Source organism: Homo sapiens, chromosome 17 (genome assembly GCF_000001405.40).
Source record: "Homo sapiens chromosome 17, GRCh38.p14 Primary Assembly".
NCBI classification, from domain to species: domain Eukaryota; kingdom Metazoa; phylum Chordata; class Mammalia; order Primates; family Hominidae; genus Homo; species Homo sapiens.
In genome coordinates, this window is record NC_000017.11 from 82,751,251 (window position 1) to 82,776,811 (window position 25,561).

General features: G+C 49.6%; 1 protein-coding gene across 12 annotated transcripts in view, besides 3 other annotated features; it reads left to right on the plus strand.

The window, feature by feature from the left end:
* Positions 7-366: a silencer, noted in NCBI's record as "silent region_9228". NCBI's record gives its function as "represses an Ori minimal core promoter by ATAC-STARR-seq in GM12878 lymphoblastoid cells {active_cell/tissue: GM12878}" and the evidence as "EXISTENCE:reporter gene assay evidence [ECO:0000049][PMID:35858748]".
* Positions 815-25,561, plus strand: part of TBCD (tubulin folding cofactor D) — a 193,850-nt gene continuing 169,103 nt past the window's right edge. For 6 of the 12 annotated variants that reach the window (NM_005993.5, NM_001411102.1, NM_001437989.1 and 3 more), the window contains exons 1-6: positions 815-1,127; positions 4,915-4,965; positions 12,715-12,812; positions 15,017-15,118; positions 17,170-17,316; positions 21,202-21,257. In NM_005993.5, coding sequence (NP_005984.3) covers positions 944-1,127; positions 4,915-4,965; positions 12,715-12,812; positions 15,017-15,118; positions 17,170-17,316; positions 21,202-21,257 — 638 coding nt within the window. In that variant the 5' untranslated portion in view covers positions 815-943. Of the gene's footprint in view, positions 1,128-1,241; positions 1,505-3,996; positions 4,067-4,914; positions 4,966-12,714; positions 12,813-15,016; positions 15,119-17,169; positions 17,317-21,201; positions 21,258-25,561 lie in introns of those variants that run through there. The other 6 variants (NM_001411101.1, XM_047436615.1, XM_047436619.1 and 3 more) reach the window with 3 other exon arrangements.
* Positions 1,057-1,376: a silencer, noted in NCBI's record as "silent region_9229". NCBI's record gives its function as "represses an Ori minimal core promoter by ATAC-STARR-seq in GM12878 lymphoblastoid cells {active_cell/tissue: GM12878}" and the evidence as "EXISTENCE:reporter gene assay evidence [ECO:0000049][PMID:35858748]".
* Positions 3,723-4,017: an enhancer, noted in NCBI's record as "tiled region #591; K562 Activating DNase unmatched - State 5:Enh, and HepG2 Activating non-DNase unmatched - State 14:Gen5'". NCBI's record gives its function as "activates a minimal TATA promoter and a strong SV40 promoter by Sharpr-MPRA in K562 cells, with weaker activity in HepG2 cells {active_cell/tissue: K562 | HepG2}" and the evidence as "EXISTENCE:reporter gene assay evidence [ECO:0000049][PMID:27701403]".

Below are 25,561 nucleotides of genomic sequence, written 5' to 3' on the forward strand. Positions count from 1 at the left end.
CGAGCTGTGCACGGACGTTTTTGCGGCGATTCAGGGGAAACGCACGCGGACCCGGTAGCCAAGGCCAAAGTCGGCGCAGCGCCCACCGCGGCCTCCGGGCCCCGCTCCCGCTCCCGCTCTGGGGCGCGCCACCACTCGGCGCGGGGCCCGTGTGATCCGCGCGGGTCCCAGCGTGGCGCGAATAAGTGTCAGGGCGGTTGGCTCTGAGGGGTGGGTCCCGGGGCTCGCCTCGCGCCCCCGACTGCGTGCTCAGGCCCCGCCCCTCCCCGTCCACGCATGCTGAGGCTCCGCCCCGCTCCGCGGTCCCCCGGTCCCACCCGCCCCCGCCCCGCCCCCGCCCCGCCCCCCGGCGTGTTGTGGCTCCGCCCCGCTGTCTCCGGCCCCACCGCAAGCCCTGCCCCTCCCACCCACGCGTGCCCGGGCCCCGCCCCCGTTGCGCGCAGCCCCGCCCCCTATCGCGTGCTCAAGCCCCGCCCTGGCGGCCCCCGGCCCCATCCCGAAGCCCCGCCCCCCCGCACACCGCCTGCTCAGGCTCCGCCCCGCTGTCCTCCGGCGGCGGCCTCACCCCGCAGCCCGGCCCACCGCGTCTCAGGCCCCACCTCCTGTCCTGCCCCGCCCACCGCGTGCTCAGGCCCCGCTGAGCGGTCCCGGCTCCGCTCGCGCCCTGTGGGGTCCACGGCGCGCTCTTCCAGAGCCTTTGGGACCCGTGCCCGCTCGCGTCCTCAAGTGCACGCGCCGTCCCGCGCGCGGTATTTTGGCGGCCGACGCGTTCCGTAGCGAGGCCGGCGAGTGGGGTCGGAGGTCGCGGGGCGGGGCCAGCGTCGGTTGCCGCCTTAGCGGGCGCCTCCTTTTCATCCCTCATCCTTCATCCCTGGCTTTCGCGCTCTAGCGGAGTGGGATCTGCGAACACGTGAGGCGGGGGCGCGGTCCCCAGGCTGCCGAGATGGCCCTGAGCGACGAACCGGCCGCGGGCGGCCCCGAGGAGGAGGCGGAGGACGAGACACTGGCCTTTGGCGCGGCGCTGGAAGCGTTCGGCGAGAGCGCGGAGACCCGGGCGCTGCTGGGCCGCCTGCGGGAGGTGCACGGCGGCGGCGCGGAGCGCGAGGTGGCCCTGGAGCGGTTCCGCGGTGCGTGGGCGGCGCCGCGTGCCCGCTTCCTCCCCCGGCCCGGGTTCGGCGCGCTGAGTGCACTTTACCGGGCGGGGACCGCAGCCCGGCGGCGCCGGCCGCTCTGCGAGGGCTGCCGGTGCGCGGTCCCGCGGGCCGTGGTGGGGCGCGGCCTTCCTAGGCGGGAGAGGGCCACCCCGGCGCGGCGTTAGGTGCACGGGGCAGACGCGCGCCTCCCTTGGGGGGACCGTGGCCCGCGGAGCGCCTGCTCTCGCACGGGGTGAAGCCTCTGCGGCCTCCCCGGGAGGCGGGGTGCAGAAGCCCTCCGTCCCCCGTCTCCGTCACTGGAGGAGGTCCCTGGGCTGGGGAGACTCGGGCCAGACCCCTCCGGACAGCTGGTCAGCCCTGCAGTGTGGACTCCCAGGCTTGCCTCCACCGAGCGCGGTTTCTGTGAATGTTGTGTGGACAGGGAGATAGGGAATGAGAGAGGGGGACGCAGGGAACAAACCTGCTGCAAACAAAGCGCGCCTCGGGTGGGGAGGGCAGCAGCCTGTCCGTTCCGTGGACGCCGTGGACAGAGCGGGCTGGCCGGGTCCGTGCCTCTGCAGGCGGGGTGGGGTGTAGGTACCCCTGTGGAGGCCATTCGATGAGTCTAAATTCTCCGAGTTCAGACCCACCTTTACCGCTGTCTATAATGGGTTATTTCCAAACAAGTCCTTAGGAGCTCATAGCTAAGTAGTTACATGGGGTTTTGTAATTCAGTAAAATCATCTTTGTAGACCCTTTGAGTAAGAAGAACTTTTGCATTATTTGGCCTTCCTCATTTTAGAATGACAGCGCTTTGATTTTAGGAGTCAGGCAGGGTGGGGGGCCTTGTGGGAGGAGTGCGGGTTCGGCGTCAGATCCTCCTGCCTGTGAATTCTGGCCCTGTCGCTTGGACCTGATACTTGATTGCCTGTTTCTTCGGGTGTAAGCTGGGGCGGATAACGATGCCTCTCGTGCAGAACTGTTCTGAGGGTGAGGGACCCTCATCCAGGGACCAGTGAAGCCAGATTTTTTGTTCCTGGTGTAACAGCCCAATGGCTTCTTCCTTTTTTTTTTTTTTTTTTTTTTGATACGAAGTCTTGCTCTGTTGCCCAGGCTGGAGTGCAGTGCAGTGGTGCGATCTTGGCTCACTGCAACCTCAACCTCTCAGGTTCAAGCTATTCTCCTGTCTTAGCCTCCCGAGTAGCTGGGGCTACAGGCGCGCGCCACCACGCCCGGCTAATTTTGTATTTTTAGTAGAGGGGGTTTCACCATGTTGGTCAGGCTGGTCTCAAACTCCTGACCTCAAGTGGTCGCCCGACTCAGCCTCCCAAAGTGTTGAGATTACAGGTGTGAGCCACTGCGCTCGGCCCCAGTGGGTTCTTTCTGCGGGCTGCCCAGATAGAGTTGATTTGTCAGGGCAGGGGAGTTGCCATGGAGAAGATTTAGTTCACGCAGAGCCGGTTGAAAGGGAGACTAGACTAGAGGTTTTTTTTTTTTTTTTTGAGGCGGAGTCTCACTTTGTCCCCCAGGGTGGAGTGCAGTGATGAGATCTCAGCTCACTGCAACCTCCACAACCTCCACCTCCCAGGTTCAAGTGATTCTCCTGCCTCAGCCTCCCGAGTAGCTGGGACTACAGGTGCGCGCCACCACGCCCACCTAATTTTTCGTATTATTAGTAGTGACGGGTTTCATCGTGTTAGCCAGGATGGTCTCGATCTCCTGACCTCGTGATCCACCCGCCTCAGCCTCCCAAAGTGAGCCACCACGCCCGGCTGGAGTTTTATTATTACTCAGATCAGTCTCCCTGAGAATTTGAGGGCCAGGGTTTTTTAGAGGTAATCTGGGGGAAAGGGTGGGGGTGGCTGATTGGTTAGGGGTATACAATCATAGGGGAGTCGGAAATGATCCTCCGTGATGTGCTGAATCGCGTCTGCGTGGGGCCCCAGGAGCAGTGGGCGGGTCCAGGTGGAGCTATCATGGGTCCGTGGATCCTAGTGTAGGTGTCAGACATGGAAACAATCTGAAAAGATATCTTTAAAGGCCAGTCTCAGGTTCTGCAATAGTGACATGGTCTGCAGGAGTAACTGGGGAACTCGCATGTCTTGTGATCTCAAGAATAATGGCTGGCAATTAGGTTACGCCTTAGCGGAATTCAGGCTCCTCTCCTCCTCCTAGCCTGGTGGCCTCTCATTAACTTTACAAAGGCAGTTGAGTTTTGGGGAAGGGCTCTTAGCATTTAAACTATAAATTAAATGTCTCCCAGAGGTAGCTTGGCAGCTTGAAGACTAAAGGCATGAGGGGGTTGCCTGGATCAGATCTGCCCCATTGCCATAATTTCCTCACAGATCACTTTTGCAAAGGCAGTTTTGCTGGGAAGCAGTGGGTGTGTTCAGATGTGGAGGTGGGAGCTGCCGGATTGGACAGAAGCAGTTTCAGCTGCTGAGAGGAGGAGAAAGCGGTGGTTCAGGGTCTGGGAGGTTGTGAAGAGCTGGCAGCTGTGTGGAAGGGAGCAGTGCCTGGATATGTCAACCAAAAAGTATCTGAGACGAGTCTCAATCAGTTTAGAAGGTTAAGGGTGTGCCCGTGAGGCAGCCTCAGGAGGTCACATGTCCCCAAGGAAGTCGGGCTACAGCTTAGTTTTACACGTTTTAGGGAGACGTGAGACATCAATCAATACCTGTAAGATGTACATTGGTCTCGTCAGGGAAGGCGGGACATCTTGGGTGGGAGGGCGTCCAGGGCATTGGTGGATTCAAATATTTCACGATTGGTGATTGGTTGAAAGAGTTTATCTGAAGACCTGGAATCCATAGAAGGGATTGTCTAGGTTAAGATAAATTGTGGAGACCAAGGTTTTTCTTATGCAGATGAAGGTTCCAGTTAGCTGGTTTCAGAGAGAATAGATTGTAAATGCTTTTCATCAGACTAAAAAGGTACCAGACTTAGTTAATTTTCTCTTGGATCAGGGAAAAGACCTAGAAAAGGAAGGGATTCTCTACAGAATGTAGCTTTTCCCAGCAAGAGACAACTTAGCAGAACCATTTCAAAATATGTCAAATATATTTTAGGGAAAAATATTTTGATTTCTTTCAGGGCCTGCTGTCTGTCATGTGATGCTGTACTAGAGTCAGGCTGGAATTTGGTGTCTTATTGCTACTTAAGATCGGTTTTAATGCTAATACTGATCAGCTGTGCCTGAATTCCAACGAGAGGAGGGTATAATGAGGCCTATGTGGACCACTCCCCACAATCCCTTAATATCATGAGGCCTGAACTAGTTTTTCAGGTTAAGTTTGGAATGCCCTTGGCCAAGAGGAGGGGTCTGTTAGATGGCTAGGGGGCTTAGAATTTTGTTTTTAGTTTACAGGCATGTTTGGCAGGGGAGTGTGAGAGGAGTGCCAGGGATGTGTGTCTCACAAGGACAGAGTTGAGCTTGGCCCTTAACGGCTGGCAGAGGCAGGAGAGAGTGAAGGAAGGAAGAGGCGAGGAGGAGACTCTGTTAGGAAGAGTATCGAGGCAGTGGGAAAAGAGGAACAGTGTGCCAAGCAAGTAAACTGCACGAGGCTGGGCCACAGTGGCCCTCAAAAGGCTAGAGGGAGGTGGGGCATTCCCTCCAGGTGGCCTGTGTGGCCTCCTTTAGTGAGAGGGGAGGTGTGCTCTTGAGAGCTGGGGAAGAGGTGGAGCTGCCCTGTGGAAGCTAGCAAGGGAAAATGGGGTTTCTGAGGCTCATGGGTATGTTTGGCCTAGTGATAATTAATTTTCATGTTATATTTGTTTTTAGTAATAATGGACAAATACCAGGAGCAGCCTCATCTGTTGGACCCGCACCTTGGTAAGAATAGAAGCTGCTGATTTTGATCATTCAGTTACAGATGACCACGGAGGCCTTGGTGTGTGGTGCTGGCACATGCATGTGCTTTGCCAGGATCAAATGCCAAGAAGTGTCCCTGTCTTGCTTGCCTGGCTGGTTGGTTTTAGCCGACCTGTGATAGTGGCTTGAGTTCCAGATGTCACTCTAGGCTGGGGGGAGATGTGTCTGAGCTACTTAATTCCTTTCTGCTAAGGAAACAACATCTGCTCCTCATGTGTTTTTTTTGTTTTTTTTTCTTTTTTTTGAGACGGAGTCTCGCTCTGTCTCCAGGCTAGAGTGCTGTGGCGCGATCTCAGCTCACTGCATCCTCCAGCTCCCTGGTTCAAGGGATTCTCCTGCCTCTGCCTCCCGAGTAGCTGGGATTACAGGCATGCGCCACCATGCCCAGCTAATTTTTGTATTTTTAGTAGAGACGGGGTTTCACTATGTTGGCCAGGATGGTCTTGATCTCCTGACCTCGTGATCCGCCTGCCTCGGCCTCCCAAAGTGCTGGGATTACAGGCGTGAGCCACCGCGCCTGGCCTCCTCAAGTGTTTTTAGTTTACATTAGTTTATTATTTTAGTTTACATTTGGGCACATGATGTTTTTCTGGTAATAGTCATACAGGGTCAGGTGTTTTACATGGGTCATCATTTAATCCTCACAGCAGCTAAGGAGGGCATCTGTTGTCATCTCCAGTTTACAGATGGGGACACTGAGGCTCGGTTTTCTTACTTTAGTGTAAGGGGTGTGGTTTCTTATTGTTTTCTTTATTTTTGATGTATTTCACACTGATTAAAATTTTTCTTTTTCTACCTACAAATGTGACACATGCTTCTGGCAGTTCACCTGGGAAAGAGGAAGGTGGCAATAGTCACCACGTTGAGAGGGAGCACCCTGGGTGGGGGCACCCTGGCTTCATAGCCCAGTTTCACCATTCAGTTTTTGAGCTGCTCTTTGCCGGGGTTTCCTCGCCCCCCGTGGTGTTGAGATCTGTGTGAGAGACACTAAGGGTCAGCCTTTCATGTGCGCACACGTGCCTCTTAAAGAGTAGTTTGTGCTGTGCATCTTGTTCTGTTTTTTTTTCTTCAAATAACAGATTTTGGCTGGGGGTGGTGGCTCATGCCTGTAATCCCAGCACTTTGGGAGGTGGAGGCGGGTGGATCACTTGAGGTCGGGAGTTCGAGACCAGCATGGCTAACACGATGAAACCCTGTCTCTACTAATAATACAAAACGTTAGCTGGGCATGCTGGCAGTTGCCTGTAGTCCCAGTTACTTGGGAGGCTGAGGCAGGAGAATGGCGTGAACCCGGGAGGCGGAGCTTGCAGTGAGCTGAGATCACGTCACTGCACTCCAGCCTGGGTGACAGAGTGAGACTTCATCTCAAAAAAAAAAAAAAACCAAAAAAAACCCTCTAAATTCGGGATTCAAGAATTCATTGGGATCAGACTTGTCCTTCTGTCCTAGAAAAATTTATAGGCCTTGTGAAGGAGACCAAAGATAGAGGTCCTTGGGAGAGGGTCAGCTGCAGGGAACATGACTCTGACATCTGGTGGAGGGGCTAGCCATGCTGGATGGCGTGGCAGGCAGTGGGCTCCCCAGGCCATATCTTATAGGAGGTCTTGGGTTCCTGGAGTTCCTGTGTGTGAGCGCTGGTTCCCAGGAAACAGATGTGGTCACTGCTCACAAGGTAGCGGGTGGTGTTTTTATATCTCTTCAAGTAACAACGTTGGACCTGTAGTTAAATGCCTTTATTCTTGCCAGACCTCTTTCCAGAGTGGATCATGGAATATTAACACTTGTTGTGAGCTGCTTAGAGTACTGCGAATGATTTTTAGAGTTATTTTCTTTCTTTGCAAAAACTGTTTTTCGCCGGGTGTGGTGGCTTATGCCTGTAATCCCAGCACTTTGGGAGGCCGGGGCGGGTGGATCACCTGAGGTCAGGAGTTTGAGACCAGCCTGACCAACATAGTGAAACCCCGTATCTACTAAAAATGCAAAAATTAGCCGCGTGTGGTGCACGCCTGTAATCCCAGCTACTTGGGGCTGAAGCAGGAGAATTGCCCGAACCCAGGAGGCAGAGGTTGCAGTGAGCCAAGATCGTGCCATTGTACTCCAGCCTGGGCAACAAGAACGAAAACGTCTCGGAAAAAAAAAAAAAAAAAAATAAATAAATAAATAAATTTTTTTTTTTGTAGAGAAGGGGTCTTGCCGTGTTGCCCAGGCTGGTCTCATACCTCTGGGTTCAAGCGGTTCACCCACCTTGGCCTCCTAAAGTGCTGGGATTTCAGGTGTGAGCCAGCGTGCCCAGCTGAGTTCATTATTTTCTGGAATTCCTTTTTAGAAAAAGGAAAATGTAGTCGTGGGATGCTGGTCCTTTGTCATTTGTTGCACATTTTTCCACCCTTTTGCTTTTTTTTTTTTCTTTTTTTTTTTTTTTTTTGAGATGTAGTCTCTCTGTTGCCCAGGCTGGAGTATAGTGGCCCAATCTTGGCTCACTGCAACTTCTGCCTCCAGGGTTCAAGCGATTCTCCTGCCTCAGCCTCCAGCGTAGCTGGGATTACAGGCGTGTGCTACCACGCCTGGCTAATTTTTTGCATTTTTAGTAGAGACAGGGTTTCACCATGTTGGCCAGGCTGGTCTCAAACTCCTGACCCCCACGTGATCTGCCCACCTTGGTCTCCCAAAGTGCTGGGATTACAGGTGTGAGCCATTGTGCCCGGCCTGCTTTTGCCTTTTAATATTGTGTCTGGTGTATTTTATCTACTGAAGTTTTTTCGTGTTTGTTTTTTTAAAGAGATGGGATCTCGCTCTGTCACCCAGGCTGGAGTGTAGTGGCGCAGTCATAGCTCACTGCAGCCTTGAGCTCCTGGGATTAAGTGATCTTCTCACTTCAGCCTCCTGCAGAGCTGGGACAACAGGCACAAGCTGCCATGCCTAGTTAATTAAAAAACTTTTTTTTTTGGCCAGGCGCAGTAGCTCATGCCTCTGATCCTAGCACTTTGGGAGGCCGAGGCGGGTGGATTACAAGGTCAGGAGTTCAAGACCAGCCTGACCAACATGGTGAAACCCTGTCTCTACTAAAAATACAAAAATTAGCTGGGCATGGTGAAGCATGCCTGTAATCCCAGCTACTTGAGAGGCCGAGGCAGGAGAATTGCTTGAACTGGGACCCAGGACGCGGAGGTAGCAGTGAACGAGATCGTGCCACTGCACTCCAGCGTGGGCTACAGAGCCAGACTGTCTCAAAAAAAAAAAAATTTTGTTTTTGCAGGGTCAGGGTCACGCTGTGTTCCTCAGGCTGGTCTCGAACTTCTGGCCCCAAGCAATCCTGCCTTGGCCTCCCACAGTGCTGGGATGACAGGTGTGAGCCACTGCACCCAGTCTCTACTGAAGTTTTAGAAATATTTAGCTTGTCAAACTATCAGTTTCTTTGTGTTTGGCCTTTGGTAGTACGGTTAGAAAGTTTATTTTTCCTAATCAGTTATGTAAGCCTCATTTATTGGATGATTTAGTGGCCTCTCCCCTACTTGAAATGCCATTTTAAATCTATATTAAATATTCAAATATATTAGCCTTTGCTTTTAGATTTTTTATCCTGTTCCATTGACCTATCTGTATGCTCTTTTTTCTGGGTCATTTCGTTTGTTTGTTTTTTTTTTTTTTTTGAGATGGAGTCTCGCTCTGTCACCCAGGCTGGAGTGCAGTGGCGTGTTCTTGGCTTACTGCAACCTCCGCCTCCCAGGTTCAAGAGATTCTCCTGCCTCAGCCTCCCGAGTAGCATGTGCCACCACGCCTGGCTAATTTTTGTATTTTTAGTAGAGAACGGTTTTCATCATGTTGGCCAGGATAGTCTCGAACTCCTGACCTCAAGCAGTCTGCCCGCCTTGGCCTCCCAAAGTGCTGGAATTAGAGGCGTGAGCCACCACGCCTGGCCTGGGTCATTTTGTTTGATGTTAGTTTATATTTTGCCTGGCATCCTTTCCTCTTATTTTCTTGATGGTTTTGTAGCCCGTTCATTAATGCGGATGAACTCCGGAATTATTTTATCACTCTCCACCCTTTGGAATTCTATTAAATTCACAAATTCATGTAGGGGAGAAGTCTTTCTAAGATTTAATTTTCATGTCTAAGATCATGGTATTATGTCTCTAATTATTCACATCTTTTGTGTTCCTCAGTGAAGGTTGGTGATTTTCTTTAGATGATTCCTGGAGACTTTTTTTTAGGTTTATTTCTAGGTATGTTTTGTCTTTTATTGCTCTTGTGAAACTATTTGTTATGTGTTCTAACTAGTTATTGCTGATGTCTAGTGAAGATATGTTTTGTATACTGTTTTTGTAAATGGCAACACTGTAATGGAATATGTATGTGTAAACATACATTTCTTAACATCTTTATAGGGATATAATTACATACTATAGAGTTCACTCTTCTAAATATACATTTTAGTGTTAGTGTATTAGTGTATTACAGAGTTGTGTAACTATCACTACCACAATCTAGGCATTTTCATCATCTGAAGCAACCCAACTCCCATCAACAATTCCTTCCCATTCTCTGCTTCCGCAGTAACCACTCATCTGGCTCTGGGTTTGTGTGTATTCAGCATTTTGTGTGATGGAATCATGCAGTAGGAGGTCTTTTGGCACTGGCTTTTTTCACTTAGCATCATGTCTATGAGGTTCACTGTGTGATGAAATGTTTACTTCAATAGTTTTTCAGTCTTTTTTTTTTTTTGGAGACAAAGTCTTGCTCTGTCACCCAGGCTGGAGTGTAATGGCGTGATCTTGGCTCACTGCAACCTCCTTCTCCTGGGTTCAAGCGATTCTCCTGCCTCAGCCTCCTGAGTAGCTGGGATTACAGGCGCCACCTGTAAAATTAGCCTGGCCAATTTTTGTATTCTGAGTAGAGACAGGGTTTCACCATGATGGCCAGGCTTGTCTTGAACTCCTGACCTCAGGTGATCCACCTGCCTCGGCCTCCCAAAGTGCTGGGATTACAGGCGTGAGCCACCGTGCCCGGCCAGTTGTTTCTTCTGGGTTTTCTTAGCAGGTAAATATTATATGGTTTGTAAATAATGCTACTCTTTATCCACGATTATAAATTTTTATTCTTAGAACATTTTATTGAGTTTTAATTTTATTGAGTTTAAAATTTACCTACTATAAAATGCACCCATTTTAGTAAGATGTTTGAGTTTCGGTAAATGTATACACCCCGCGCTATCAAGATATGGAACATTTCTGTCATCCCAAGGAGTTACTTGATGTCCTTTTGCTGTCAGTCCCCTCACCCCAGCCCTAGGGAACCACTGTTGGTTAATGGTACTGTTCATTAGTTTTGCCTGTTCTAGAATCATTCAGTATGTGCTCTTTTTGTCTTCCGTTGTTAAAATAACATCTCCGGGACTTACCATTGTTGGTGTGTGTATCAGTAGTTTGTACGTTTTCTCTCGTGCTGATAAATCACAATTTGTTTCTTCTTTTTTTTTTTTGAGATGGAGTCTTGGTCTGTTGCCCAGGCTGGAGTGCGGTGGAGTGCAGTGGTGCGATCTCGGCTCACTGCAAGCTCTGCCACCCGGGTTCACGCCATTCTCCTGCCTCAGCCTCCCGAGTAGCTGGGACTACGGGTGCCCGCCAACACACCCAGCTAATTTTTTTTTTATTTTTAGTAGAGACGGGGTTTCACCTTGTTAACCAGGATGGTCTCGATCTCCTGACCTCGTGATCCGCCCGCCTCAGCCTTCCAAAGTGCTGGGGTTGTTTCTTCTTTTATCTGTTGATGGACATTTGAGTTGTTTCCGGTTTTTGGCTGTTATTAATAATGCTACTTTTTGGGAGGCTGAGGTGGGCAGATCATGAGGTCAGGAGATTGAGACTATCCTGGCTAACACGGTGAAACCCCATCTCTACTAAAAATACAAAAAATTAGCCCAGTGTGGCGGTGTGCGCATGTAGTCCCAGCTACTTGGGAGGCTGAGGCAGGAAAATTGCTTGAACCCGGGAGGTGGAGGTTGCAGTGAGCCGAGATCTTGCCACTGCACTCCAGCCTGGGTGATAGAGCGAGACTCCGTCTCAAAAAAAAAAAAAAAAAAAGTAATGCTACTGTGAAAATGTTTATGTACAAGTTTTTAGGTAGACAGAGGTTTTATTTTCTCTTGGGAAAATACGCATGTGTGGAATTGCTGAGTAGCAGAAAGTGTCTTACTTGTAGAAAGTGTATGACTTGGCCAGGCGCGGTGGCTCCTACCTGTAATTCTAGCACTTTGGGAGACTGAGGCAGGTGGATTGCCTGAGCTCAGGAGCTCAAGACCAGCCTGGGCAACATGGTAAAACCCCATCTCTACTAAAATACAAAAAATTAGCCGGGTGTGGTGGCAGGTGCCTGTAGTCCCAGCTACTCAGGAGGCTGAGGCACGAGAATTACTTGAATGTGGGAGGCAGAGGTTGCAGTAAGCTGAGATGACACCACTGCACTCCAGCCTGGGTCACAGAGTGAGACTCTGTCTCCAAAAAAAAAAAAAGTGTGTGACTCATCACCTGCCATACTGATGCCATGAAGATTGTACTGTTGACCATTTCTACCAACAAGGTATGAGGATTCCAGCTGCTCTGGGTTCTCTTCAGCACTCAGCGTTGCCAGTCTCTCTGATTTCAGGGAGTGTATCTCGTTGTGTCCTTCTCTGCGTTTCCCGGATGCCAGTTGCAGTTGTTTTCCATGTATGAAGACTTGCAGCCCAGCGTATGGTCTGTTTTGTTGAACATTCCGCGTGCACTTGAGAAAAATGTCTGTTCTGTTGTTGGGTAGATTGTTCTCTAAATGTCACGTAAGTAAGGTGGGTGATAGTGCTGTTTAGGTTTCAGCGATTTTCTCTTACTTGTTCTATCAGTTCCTGAAACAGGAGTGTCGAAGTTTTCAACCGTGTCTCCTTTCATTTCTCTCAGCTTCTTCTGTGCTTATTTTGAAGCTCTGTAGGTTGGTGTGTATACTTACAGAATTGTTAAGTCTTCATGATGAATTGATCCTTTTATTATCATGAAACATTCTGTTTATCTCTGATGGTAATGCTTGTTCTGACATTTACTTTGTCTGATATTAACAGAGCCACTCCAGCTCTTTTATGATTTGTGATTGGTTGGAATATCTTTTTCCTTTTGCTTACGTTTAACCTAGCTATGTCTTTTTGTTTGTTTTTGTTTTTTAAGAGACAGGGTTTTGGGCCAGGTGCGGTGGGCTCACACCTGTAATCCCATCACTTTGGGAGGCCGAGGTGGGTGGATCACCTGAGGTCAGGAGTTCGAGACCAGCCTGGCCAACATGGTGAAACCCCGTCTCTACTAAAAATACAAAAATTAGCCAGGCGTGGTGACGCGTGCCTGTAATTCCAGCTACTTGGGAATCTGAGGGAGGAGAATAGCCTGAACCCGGGAGGTGGAGGTTGCAGTGAGCTGAGATCACGCCACTGCACTCCAGCCTGGGGGACAGAGCAAGACTCTGTCTCAAAAAAAAAGAAAAAAAAGAGACGGGTTTTGCTCTGTTGCCCAGGCTGGAGTGCAATAGTAGGATCATAGCTCATTGCCGCCTTGAAATTCTGGCTTCAAATGATCCTCCCACCTTGGTCTCCCAAAGTGCTGGGAAAACAGGCATGAGCCACCACACCTGGCCGGCCTCAATGTCATGTTGATGTTCACTTTTACAGTAAATGTTTCCTATGTTTTTCCCTAGAATGGATGATGAACTTGTTGTTGGACATAGTGCAAGATCAGACATCTCCAGCTTCCCTTGTACATCTGGCTTTTAAATTTCTTTACATCATCACCAAGGTAACATTTCCATAGCACTTCAGAGTTGACAGATACTTTTGTAATATACTTGGTCCAGAGGTTACCCTCCAAAATGTTATTTCTCAAGAAAGATAGTTCTTAGACACAAGTTGTGGGTTTAATTCTGTCCCTTTTTACTGTATGTTGGGGATCAGAATTTAGTGATGTGGGCTCTTTGGCTGAAACAGTGTCAGGATATTCAGCATCTTGCATTTGAATAGATTGAAGCACTGTGTAGCTAGGAAGGGAATGGGGTGGAGATGAGACTAAATCAGAAAAACTTCTTACAAGGAGAAAGCAGGCCGGGTGCGGTGGCTCATGCCTGTAATCCCAGCACTTTGGGAGGCTGAGGCAGGTGGATCACCTGTGGTCAGGAGTTCGAGATGAGCCTGGCCAACATGGTGAAACCCCGTCTCTACTAAAAATACAAAAATTAGCTGGGCTTGGTGGCACATGACTGTAATCCCAGCTGCTTGGGAGGCTGAGGCGGGAGAATGGCTTGAACCTGAGAGGCAGAGGTTGCAGTGAGCCGAGATCATGCTGTTGCACTCCAGCCTGAGTGACAGAGCGAGACTCTGTGGAAATGGAAGTGCTTCTCACACTTTAATGTGCAGATGAATTTCCTGGGAATTTTGCTGTGCTATAGATTTTGAGCAAGTAGGTCTAGGCGGGGGTCTCATAGTCTGCTTTTCTTACAAGCTTGCGGGTGTCTGTGCTCATAGTCTGCTTTTCTTACAAGCTTGCGGGTGTCTGTGCTCATAGTCTGCTTTTCTTACAAGCTTGCGGGTGTCTGTGCTCATAGTCTGCTTTTCTTACAAGCTTGCGGGTGTCTGTGCTCATAGTCTGCTTTTCTTACAAGCTTGCGGGTGTCTGTGCTCATAGTCTGCTTTTCTTACAAGCTTGCGGGTGTCTGTGCTCATAGTCTGCTTTTCTTACAAGCTTGCGGGTGTCTGTGCTCATAGTCTGCTTTTCTTACAAGCTTGCGGGTGTCTGCTCATAGTCTGCTTTTCTTACAAGCTTGCGGGTGTCTGCTCATAGTCTGCTTTTCTTACAAGCTTGCGGGTGTCTGTGCTCATAGTCTGCTTTTCTTACAAGCTTGCGGGTGTCTGCTCATAGTCTGCTTTTCTTACAAGCTTGCGGGTGTCTGTGCTCATAGTCTGCTTTTCTTACAAGCTTGCGGGTGTCTGTGCTCATAGTCTGCTTTTCTTACAAGCTTGCGGGTGTCTGTGCTCATAGTCTGCTTTTCTTACAAGCTTGCGGGTGTCTGTGCTCATAGTCTGCTTTTCTTACAAGCTTGCGGGTGTCTGCTCATAGTCTGCTTTTCTTACAAGCTTGCGGGTGTCTGTGCTCATAGTCTGCTTTTCTTACAAGCTTGCGGGTGTCTGTGTGCTGGCCCAGAGGCTCACTGTTGGCAGTTTTGACTATGGAAGTACTCACAGCCGTCTCAGGGTGGGGCTTGGGGTTCGTAGTGGCGAGGCGCATTTCTGTTGTCTGGCGGGAAAGTCCTTGGCCAGCGAGAGGACACTGCGGGTGAGCTGCCAAGGACACGCAGGCCTCTGTAGCTCCTCTGTTTGAGGTTAGGATTTCTCCGGAAGGCGTGGTATCACTGAGCTTCAGGGAAGTGTTAATGAATTTGGGCCCTTGCGGTTTGTAGGCACTTATTCCTCATAAATGTCAGAGGACAGTCATATAAATGAACATATTTAATGACTGATTCCGTAAATATGGTAATGAATAACACTACCAATTTAGGAAGGAAATCTTTTTTTTTGAGAGATGGGGTCTTGCTCTGTCACTCAGGCTAGAGTGCAGTGATGCAGTCAGCTCACTGCAGCCTCGAACTCTTGGTCTCAAATGATTCTCCCTCCTGCCTCATCCTCTCAGACTACAGGCATGTGCCACCATCCTGTCTAATTTTTAATTTTTTATGTTGCCCAGGCTAGTCTCCAACTCTTGGTCTCAAGCTATTCTTTTGCCTCGGCCTCCCAAAGTGCTGGGATTACGGGTGTGAGCCATCGCTCTTGGCCATGGGTAGCTTTCTTGGGGTGACTACGGTCTTACTAAATTGTGTCACTGTAATGTCACAGAATTCTCTTTGATCAGTGGGTCGCGTAGCTGGTGATTTTTGATGAAAGGGTAGAAAGGCAATTTTGCTGCTCTCTGTATTTTTAAATGTTATAATTCAGCATCTCTTTATTTGATAGGTTCGAGGCTATAAAACATTTCTTCGTTTATTTCCTCATGAAGTTGCCGATGTAGAGCCTGTTTTAGATTTGGTCACAATTCAGAATCCCAAGGACCATGAAGTGAGTGTCTCTGCCTCCCCCCTCGTCTCCAGCCCTCCGTGCCTGTCCTTCCTCCCTGCTTGCCCCACCCTGCTGCACCTTCCCCTTCCTGTTTCTTTCATTTTATCTCCCTTTGTTTTGTGTCACTCCTCTTTTCTTTCTTTTCTTTTCACTTTTCCTTTACTTCTTGTACAAGTTGCTTTAAATTATTTTCGTTTAAAATAGCCCCTTTATAAAAAAAATTATGCCTAGGTGTAGTTTAACAATAAATCCGTCATTGTTTCTATGTTTTTTTAACTGTGTAAGTATAACTGTGTTGGGTTCCCAAGACCACCCCCAGGTTTGATACTTCCTGAGCGGGACTCACAGCACTCAGCATAGAGTCCTCCTTTTGGCTGTCACTTGTTATGGCAAAATAATACACAGCAAAATCAGCAAAGGGAAAAGGCACATGGGTGGGGTCTGGGGAGAACCAGGCGGGAGCTCCCGGGGTCCTCCAGTTGGGTCCCACAGGGCCTGTGTCATTCCCCCAGCAGTGAGATGTGACCACACCTGTGAGGTGTCTATCAGAGAAGCACGTTTGAGACTTGGTGCCCAGAGCTTTCACTGGGGTCTGGCCACATGGACACCTCTGCCTGGCACGAAACGAAATTCCAGACCCCCAGCAGGAAAGCAGGTGCCAGCGTAAAGCACACGGTTTGTGCAGATTGAGCCAGCGAGGGACCTCATCAGGCAGGGCTTGGTGGGAACCCTGCTGGTGTCCAGGTCCCTGGATACCAGCCCAGGGCCGGCCTCGTCAGGGGCCTTGCCTCAGACGGCAGCGGGGCCTGCTATGCTCGCTGTCTTCTGCGTGGTATGTATTTGGAGGAGCACACGGTTTATAACCGTGCAGTGCGGTGGCTTGTCTCGGCGTGGATGTGACTGATGAGCGCTGTGGGGCATTTCCCTGCTGCCCTGCACTCCGTGCCCTTCTTTCCCTAGTACTTCTAGCGCCCCCCAGTGGAATGATTGCAGGGACAAATTGGGATGTTTTTTACTAATTACTGAAAATAAGGGTACTCCTTTTTTATTAGAAGTTGATAATTGTTTTCTTTATTCTTTTTTTTTTAAAAAGACAGAGTTTCACTCTTCTTGCCCAGGTTGGAGAGCAATGGCACAATCTTGGCTCACTGCAACCTCTGTCTCCCAGGTTCAAGCGATTCTCCTGTGTCAGCCTCCTGAGTAGCTGGGATTACAGGCATGTGTCATCACGCCAGGGTAATTTTGTATTTTTAGTAGAAACAGGGTTTCTCCATGTTGGTCAGGCTGGTTTAGGACTCTTGACCTCGGCCAGGCACGGTGGCTCGTGCCTGTAATCCCAGCAGTTTGGGAGGCCAAGGTGGGCGGATCACGAGGTCAGGAGATCGAGACCATCCTGGCTAACACGGTGCAACCCTGTGTCTACAAAAAATACAAAAATTAGCCTAGCATGGTGGCAAACGCCTGTAGTCCCAGCTACTCAGAAGGCTGAGGCAGGAGAATGGCGTGAACCCGGAAGGTGGAGCTTGCAGTGAGCGAGGTTGCGCCACTGCACTCCAGCCTGGGCAACAGAGCGAGACTCCATCTCAAAAAAAAAAAAAGGAACTCCTGACCTCAGGTGATCCGCTCGTCTCGGCCTCCCAAAGTGTTGGGATTACAGGTGTGAACCACCACACCTGGCCTTTTTTCTTTATTCTTAGGTGTTTTTACTTTTTATCTGTTTTTCACTTTTTCAAAAGGCCAGTTTGTATGTGGAGAGGTGCCAGCGAAGAGAAGCTGCTATACTGATGTATTATGATTTTTCTTTGTTCATTTTGATGTCTCTCTTGTCTGCTGAGCTAAGTTACGGCGGTAGGTGTGTGTGGTGGGGATTCCGGGGGGGATGTGGCGAGGAGTTGGTGAACGGCTTGCATTTCTGGCCCTGAGGGTGATGGCATTTGAATGGCTTTCATAGGCATTGGGTGGGCATGGAGGGCAGTGACTTTGAGTAGATTGTGGCCAGTGGCCTGTGATTTTCAAGCAAGACTCATTCTTCCCGTGGTTTAATTTTTTAGGCTTGGGAAACCCGCTACATGCTTTTGCTCTGGCTCTCCGTGACCTGCCTGATCCCTTTTGATTTTTCTCGCCTTGACGGGAACCTCCTCACCCAGCCTGGGCAAGCACGAATGTCCATAATGGACCGTATTCTCCAAATAGCAGAGGTAAATATCATGCAGATAATTAGCTGCTAATTAGTACTCACTTTCATGTTCATGCTGTCTTGATGTTAGTGGTTTACTCGGTAAGCTTCTGATATGTATTCAACTGCTGTTTTTTTCAGTGGGGTAAAATCCCATAGGATAACTTATTTTGAAATTGTGATAATTCATGTAGGGGTCAGGTTGAGTTAGCAAATCTCATTTCTTTGTAGATGATGCAAATACTCTGTTGAGGGTAATCATGGCAGATAAGGAAGGGTTTAGTGGCATGGTGAGAGAGAATAAGGACCCATTTTACATTTAGTTCTTAACGTTATATAAATAATAGATGCTCATTTGTAGGAGAACTAGAAAATAAAGATAAGCAAGAAAAATACTAAATTTAAATTTATGAAATTCTAGTGCCAAGAGATAAGTTGTTTATTTTCTCCGAACTTTTCCTGATGTAAATATTATGCATATAAACACAGCTTATTGTATTAGTTATCTATTGGATCATAACTAATTACCCCAAACTTGAGTGTTTGACACACATTTATCCTCTTGTAGTTTCTGTGGGTCGGGAGTCTGGCATGGCTGAGCTGGGTCCTTTGTGTCAAGCTTGCCCACAGCTGCAGTTAAAACTCGACATGGGCAGGCTTTGCCCCAAGGCCGTTGGATTGAGGCCACCCTCAGTTCTTTGCCACCTGGGCCCCTCCAACTTAGTGACTTATTCCATCAAAGCCTGCAAGGGAGAAACTCTGCTAATGAGATGGAAGTCATGATAATATGTTACCTGATCATGGAAGTGACGTCCCATTCCTCTGCCAGATCCTGTGGTTAGCAGCAAGTCACCGAGTCCAGCCTACGCAAGCGAGCACTAGGAGGCTGTCAGGCTCTGAGCCATCTCAGTTGTCTCGGTCTTCCTGCCACGCTGACTGCGACAGCCCTGGTCAGCATTCACTGAGTGCCTGCTGTGTGCCTGGCACCGTTCAAACACTCATAGATTAATCTTTAATCACTTATGGATTAATAATTTAACCTATACATTGGGCTGGGCATGGTGGGTCACTCCTGTAATCCCAGCACTTTGGGAGGCCGGGGCGGGCAGATCACGTGAGGTTAGGACTTCGAGACCAGCCTGGCCAACATGGTGAAACCCTGTGTCTACTAAAAATACAAAAATTAGCTGGGCCTGGTGACACATACCTGTAATCCCAGCTACTCAAGAGGCTGAGGCAGAAGAATCCCTTGAACCTGGGAGGTGGAGATTGTAGTGAACTGAGATTACGCCACTGCACTCCAGCCTGGGTGACAGAGCGAGAGTCCATCTCAAAAAAAAAAAAAAAAAAATTTAACCTATACGTTGATGATTGATAGATCATCAGTGATTAATTAACTGTGATTAATAATCATTGAATTCTCCTTCATGAGGCTGTTGACAATTCTTACCCTCGTTTAACCGAGAAGGCAACAGGCATAAAAATTAATAACTTAGTTTACTTTGCTCATAAATGGTGGATCCATGTTTGAATCCAGGCGGTTTATCTGGAGTCTGTGCTCTTCATCAGGGCTCAGCATTGCCCCATGACCTGCTGTTCTGAGTCCTTTTTACCCTCAGCAACACGTTCTTAGTGTCTTACGATGTCAGAAAGTGTCCCCCTCATAATCGTTAAGGGAAAAGGTACTCCATTGTAATCTAATTTAAAATTCTCTCTGATAGATGGATGTTTTGTTTGTTCTTGTTTTGTTACGTTAGAGGTAGTGTGGTGATGGGCTGGGTGCGGTGGCTCACGCCTGTAATCCCAGCACTCTGGGAGGCCAAGGTGGGCATATCACCTGAGGTCAGGAATTCGAGACCAGCCTGACCAACATGGAGAAACCTTGTCTCTACTAAAAATACAACATTAGCTGGGCGTGGTGGCACGTGCCTGTAGTCCCAGCTACTCAGGAGGCTGAGGCAGAAGAATCGCTTGAACCTGGGAGGCGGAGGTTGTGGTGAGCCGATATCACGCCATTGCACTCCACCCTGGGCAACAAGAGTGAAACTCCGTCTCAAAAAAAAAAAAAAAAAGTAGTATGGTTTACCCACCCTTGTTTACTTGTCTGTGGAGAGGGACTGCCAGGTCAAGGGAGCATGGTTTGTCAAGACTTGGCACTCTGTGATTGCCGTTAGAAAGCCTGCCCCGGAGGCCGGGCACGGTGGCTCACACCTGTAATCCCAGCACTTTGGGAGGCCGAGGCAGGTGGATCACGAGGTCAGGAGTTTAAGACCAGCCTGGACAAGATGGTGAAACCCCATCTCTACTAAAAATACAAAAATTAGCCGGGAATGGTGGCTAGTGCCTGTGATCCTTTCATATTTATTCAACTGTTCTCTTACAAATGAACAGCTACTTGGGAGGCTGAGGCAGAGAATTGCTTGAACCCGGGAAGCAGAGGTTGCAGTGAGCCAAGATTGCACCACTGCACTCTAGCCTGGGCAGCAGAGCAAGACTCCGTCTCAAAAAAAAAAAAAAAAAAAAAAGCCTGCCCCAGAAAAAAAGATCTTCTAAGTGTATCGTTATGGGAAAAAACAAACAAACAAACAAAAAAAACCGAGACAAGCATTGGAAACATTTTAAGGCAGCCCTCCGAAAAATAAATCTAGCTGGGCGTGGAGGTTTCATGCCTGTAATTCCAGCACTTTGGGAGGCCAGGGTGGGAGGATAGCTTGAGCCCAGGAGTTTGAGAGCAGCCTAGACAATATAATGTGACTCAGTCTCTACCAAAAAATAAAAGAAAATTAGCCAGGTGTGGTGGTACACACCTTTGGTCCCAGCTATTCTGGAGGCTGAGGTGGGAGGGTCATCTGAGCTGGGGAGGTTGGTGCTGCAGTGAGTTTTTTTTTTTTTGAGATGGAGTCTTGCCCTGTCACCCATTCTGGAGTATAGTGGTCTAATCTCAACTCACTGCAGCCTCTGCCTTTGAGGCTCAAGCAATCCTCCCACCTCAGCCTCCTGAGTAGCTGGGATTACAGGCATGTGCCATCATGCCTGGCCAATTTTTGTGTCATTAGTAGAGACGGGGTTTTACCATATTGACCAGGCTGGTCTCAAACTCCTGACCTCAGGTGATCCGCCTGCCCCAGCCTCTCAAAGTGCTGGGATTACAGGCGTGAGCCGCAGTGCCCAGCCTACAGTGAGCTTTGCTCACACCACTGTACTCCAGCCTGGGTGACAGAGCGAGACCCGGTCTCAAAACAACAGCAAAAAAACCCTAAGACCAGCTACTGGGGAGGCTGAGGCAGGAGAATGGCGTGAACCTGGGAGGCGGAGCTTGCAGTGAGCCGAGATCGCGCCACGGCCCTCCAGCCTGGGCGACAGAGCAAGACTCCGTCTCAAAAAAAAAAAACAAAAACAAAAACAAAAAATATATACACCTACTATGTACCCCAAAAATTAAACACTAAAAATTAAAAATAACTAGGTATTTGTAGTAAATCTAGGTGCTCTTCAGTTTGAACAGGGCCTCTTATCTAGTCTGAATACTCCAATACTGATGGTTCCCTTGTGCTGGAAGGCATATTAGGTGCTCAATGAATACTCTTGATTCTTTGTTACAATTGGGTAACTCCTTTGTTTACATTCTCCTGCTCTGTTCTTGCAAATGTGTGTTTCAAGGGGGTGTGACCAAATGCTCTGTGTAGCTCAGGCACTTCCTGGGTGAGTGTAGCAGTTGGCAGCTGTAGCCCTTGGCTCAGATTGAAGAGAGGTTTTTTTTTGCAGCTTTGGACTTAGGCCTGTGCTGGTAAGGTTTGTGAACCTGGGCCCTCGGGGAGCTGGTGAGGGTGGGACTGGTGACTGTGTGGTGTCCCCAAGGCTGGCGTGTGCAGGAGTGACCGTGTCTGTGCTTCACCCTTTCTTGCAGTCCTACTTGATTGTCAGTGACAAGGCCCGAGATGCAGCTGCTGTCCTTGTGTCCAGGTAAGTTTCCATGGCACATTTCTTGGTGTGTGGCTGGTGGGTTCTGAGAGGGGTTTGTTTGGGTACGTGTTTCATGTGCGTCTTCAGTCCTCAGACGAAGGACCCCGGGAAGTCTTTGGACTCTGTGGCTTTCTCTGAGGGAGTGTGCAGCAGTGTTTGGGCACAGAAGACCTCTGACCCTGAAATGACCACCCTCAGTGGTGGTTTGGGGTGCTGGTGGGGGTCACCTGACAGGCCCATCGACAGGAGTGCAGGTCTGGAAGAGGCGTGGCTGTCATCCCTGGGGTGCAGCCCCTGCACAGGGATGGGGTGGCAGTTATGAGAAACATCTCGGGCCGTCTCCCATGGAGATGATGGGTGGTGTTGGGCCTCTGTGACTGGGGATGAAAATCCCCCAACGTCCTGTATTAACTGCACCCCCCGTGTGCCCCAGACAGGGGAAGGTGGTTTTCTCTGCTGAGCGCAGCAGGCCTGCGGTGTTGGAAAGATACCAAGGATGTGTGTATAGACTGAGCGAACCTGTTTCATGAGATGCAAGAAGGAAGAAAGCAATATTTCTAATCAGTATTTTACATGACATGTGATTTTAAGTATGTATGTAGTTTACTAAGTCAGAACAGTTGACATTTTCCCCCTCTGCAATAGTGAAAGTCGAAAGCTGGTCCTAAAACCTTTCGGTGGTTGTGGTTGGGAATACGGTCAGTGCCTCATGCAGCGTCACCTTCACTCGGGTGTGTAGCTGCAACTTGCACAGCTTCTTTCCCAGAGAAGTGGGAGGAGAGAAGCTTCCTTTGTGGGGCAGTTGGAGGCATTGGATGAGGGGTTTGTGACAGCCTGGAGCTGAGGAAGGAACGCCTGAGTCCCCTGGAGCAGGTGAGGCCCCTCCCGAGAGGGCAGAGGCTGCTTCCTGTCTTGTCAAGGACATAAAAAGATGATCGTCTAATTATTAAAGTAATCTGTATATATTTAGATAATAGAGCATGAAGTACAAAATAAAACCTTTGAATGCTTTCATCCCATGGGGGTGTGATGGCCCCTGTCTCCCTACCGGGTGGCGCCAACTCTGTCCATGGTCTCCCCGCGGGGCGGCACCAACTCTGTCCATGGCTCAGTTGCTGCACTCAATTCTTTGCACCACGGACCAGGAGATGGGCCTGGTGCGCCATTGTCTTCTTCCAAAACGAGATGACCTGGTGCGAGAGTGTCTTTTCTTTTTCTTTCTTTTTTTTTTTTAATTGAGATGGAGTCTCACTTTGTCTCCCAGGCTGGAGTGCAGTGGCACGATCTCGGCTCACTGCAAGCTCTGCCTCCCGGTTTCACACCATTCTCCTGCCTCAGCCTCCCGAGTAGCTGGGACTACAGGTGCCCGCCACCATGCTCAGCTAATTTTTTTTTGTATTTTCAGTAGAGATGGGGTTTCACTGTGTTAGCCAGGATGGTCTCCATCTCCTGACCTCATGATCCGCCCACCTCGGCCTCCCAAAGTGCTGAGATTACAGGTGTGAGCCACCGCGCCTGGCCCGAGTGTGTCTTTTTTTTTTTTTTTTAATTTTTTTAGTATTTATTGATCATTCTTGGGTGTTTCTCAGAGAGGGGGATTTGGCAGGGTCATAGGACAATAGTGGAGGGAAGGTCGCAGATAAACATGTGAACAAAGGTCTCTGGTTTTCCTAGGCAGAGGACCCTGCGGCCTTCCGCAGTGTTTTTGTCCCTGGGTACTTGAGATCAGGGAGTGGTGATGACTCTTAAGGAGCATGCTGCCTTCAAGCATCTGTTTAACAAAGCACATCTTGCACCGCCCTTAATCCATTTACCCCTGAGTGGACACAGCACATGTTTCAGAGAGCACGGAGTTGGGGGTAAGGTTATAGATTAACAGCATCCCAAGGCAGAAGAATTTTTCTTAGTACAGAACAAAATCGAGTCTCCTATGTCTACTTCTTTCTACACAGACACAGTAACAAACTGATGTCTCTTTCTTTTCCCCACATTTCCCCCTTTTCTATTCGACAAAACCGCCATCGTCATCATGGCCCGTTCTCAATGAGCTGTTGGGTACACCTCCCAGACGGGGTGGCAGCCGGGCAGAGGGGCTCCTCACTTCCCAGACTTGGCGGCCGGGCAGAGGCACCCCCCACCTCCCAGACGGAGCGGCGGCCGGGCGGGGGCTGCCCCCCACCCGAGTGTGTCTACCTGTCGTTTGTGGTGGGACATTTAGACTGCTGCCCTCCCAATTTGGTATTAAAACTCAATATTGCAAACAGTCCACGTAAAATTGTGTACCGTTCTGACTGATTTCTAGGGATGAGTTTCTACAAGTGGAACGCACGTTTTCAGGGTCTGAATGCAATTACTGGAGAGGCTGAACAAGTTGGAAGTTCTTTCCCCGTCTTTTCCAGTTGGGTCAAACCTTAAGAATGTTTGCCAACTTCGTTCAATGGGAAATAGTATCTGCTTTTATTCTTACTTTTCTTAGCAGCAGTACTGAGGGTTGCGTAGATTTTTGCCGAGCTTGGCTCTGTGGAGTGCGGTGCCTGTGGGCCAGGAGGCACCATCTGAGTACTTCTCCCTCCGTGGGGTCCTCCGGGAAAAGAGCGCGCTGGCTCGGGATCCCGGGCGGACTCCCGGCGAGACACCGCAGCGCCACCTAGTGCCGGGATGAGCAGGTGCTTTTCGGCCGAGCCAGTTTCCGTGCAGAACACCTGAGCCTGGGATCCAGGAGAGGTGGTGCCTGGGGGCGTCGGTGCCGTGGAGCCTTTCTCCCCCTTGGTCTCGCACACTCTCGCACACTGATTCTCAAGAGTGTTTGAGAATGGCGGATGCCGTCAGTGGAAGAGCTCTTACAGGTGCTTGGCCGGTTCCCTCGACACCTCCCAGACTCACCGCAGGTTCTGAGTTTCCTGTACTTCTCAGACCCCTTTTTGGTGAGGATTGTTCAGGTAAGGCCAGGGCTGCGAGGGGTCCTGTGCCAGCATTTGTCTGCAGTACAGGTTCGTTTTCTGCTCTCCAGGGAGGAGCAGCCTGCTCTAGCCCACTTTGCTCTCAGGATTGAATGCTTCTCCCTGTATCACTGGCGGCTCTACAGCTGCACCCGTCTCCCTTGATTAACTGAGCTTGCCAACATCCACAGCGCTGTAGGTGGTGCTTGGTGTTACAGTGTTGCTAGAACATGCAGATTGAGTGCTGCCTTAGAAACCCACAGGAAGGGGAACATCACACTCTGGGGACTGTTGTGGGGTGGGGGGAGGGGGGAGGGATAGCATTGGGAGATATACCTAATGCTAGATGACGAGTTAGTGGGTGCAGCACACCAGCATGGCACATGTATACGTATGTAACTAACTTGCACAATGTGCACATGTACCCTAAAACTTAAAGTATAATAATAAAAAAATTAAAAAAAAACCCCTTTAATAGATATGCCTTTCGCCAGGCACGGTGGCTCATGCCTGTAATCCCAGCACTTTGGGAGGCTGAGGCGGGTGGATCACCTGAGGTCAGGAGTTCAAGACCAGCCTGGCCAACATGGTGAAACCCTGTCTCCACTAAAAATACAAAAAAATTAGCTGGGCATGGTGGTGCGTGCCTCTAATTCCAGATACTTGGGAAGCTGAGGCAGGACAATCGCTTGAGCCCAGGAGGCAGAGGTTGCAGTGAGCAGAGATCGCACCATTGCACTCCAGCCTGGGCAACAGAGCAAGACTCCATCTCAAAAAAAAAAGAGGTACGCTGTATGCAGAAAAGTTGGAAATCTTGGCGTGGCGTGGTGGCACGCACCTGTGGTCCCAGCTATTCCGAAGGCTGGGTGGGAGGATTGCTTGAGCCCAGAAGGTTGAGGTTTCAGTGAGCTGTGATTGCGCCACTGCATTCCAGCCTGCACAACAGAGCAAGACCCTGTCTCAAAAAAAAGTTGAAAATCTTGAAACATAGAAGTTGGAAAAAGATATATAGGTAATTCTTATACACAGTGCGTGTACCGTGTTTATCTTCTTTGCACCGTTATGACTTTTAATGTGCACAGCATGATCTTAACAAGTCAGAGTCAGCACTGTGCTTTTTCACCTGATTTCATGTAACTGCTGATGAATGGCTCCGTCGTGTTCTGCTGTGTTTCGATACTGCACTCAGCTCTGTCACTTCCTGCCTCTTGTGAGCAGTCACGGACGCCTGGGTTTGGTTACAGACCCGTTCTCGTGTCAGGATTGTTTCGTGAGGATGGGCCCTTAGAGATGGACTTCTGGGTTCCAGGACACGAGAGTGGTGTTGGGGTCTGCACACCTGGTGGCTCTCAGCTGCTCTCTGAG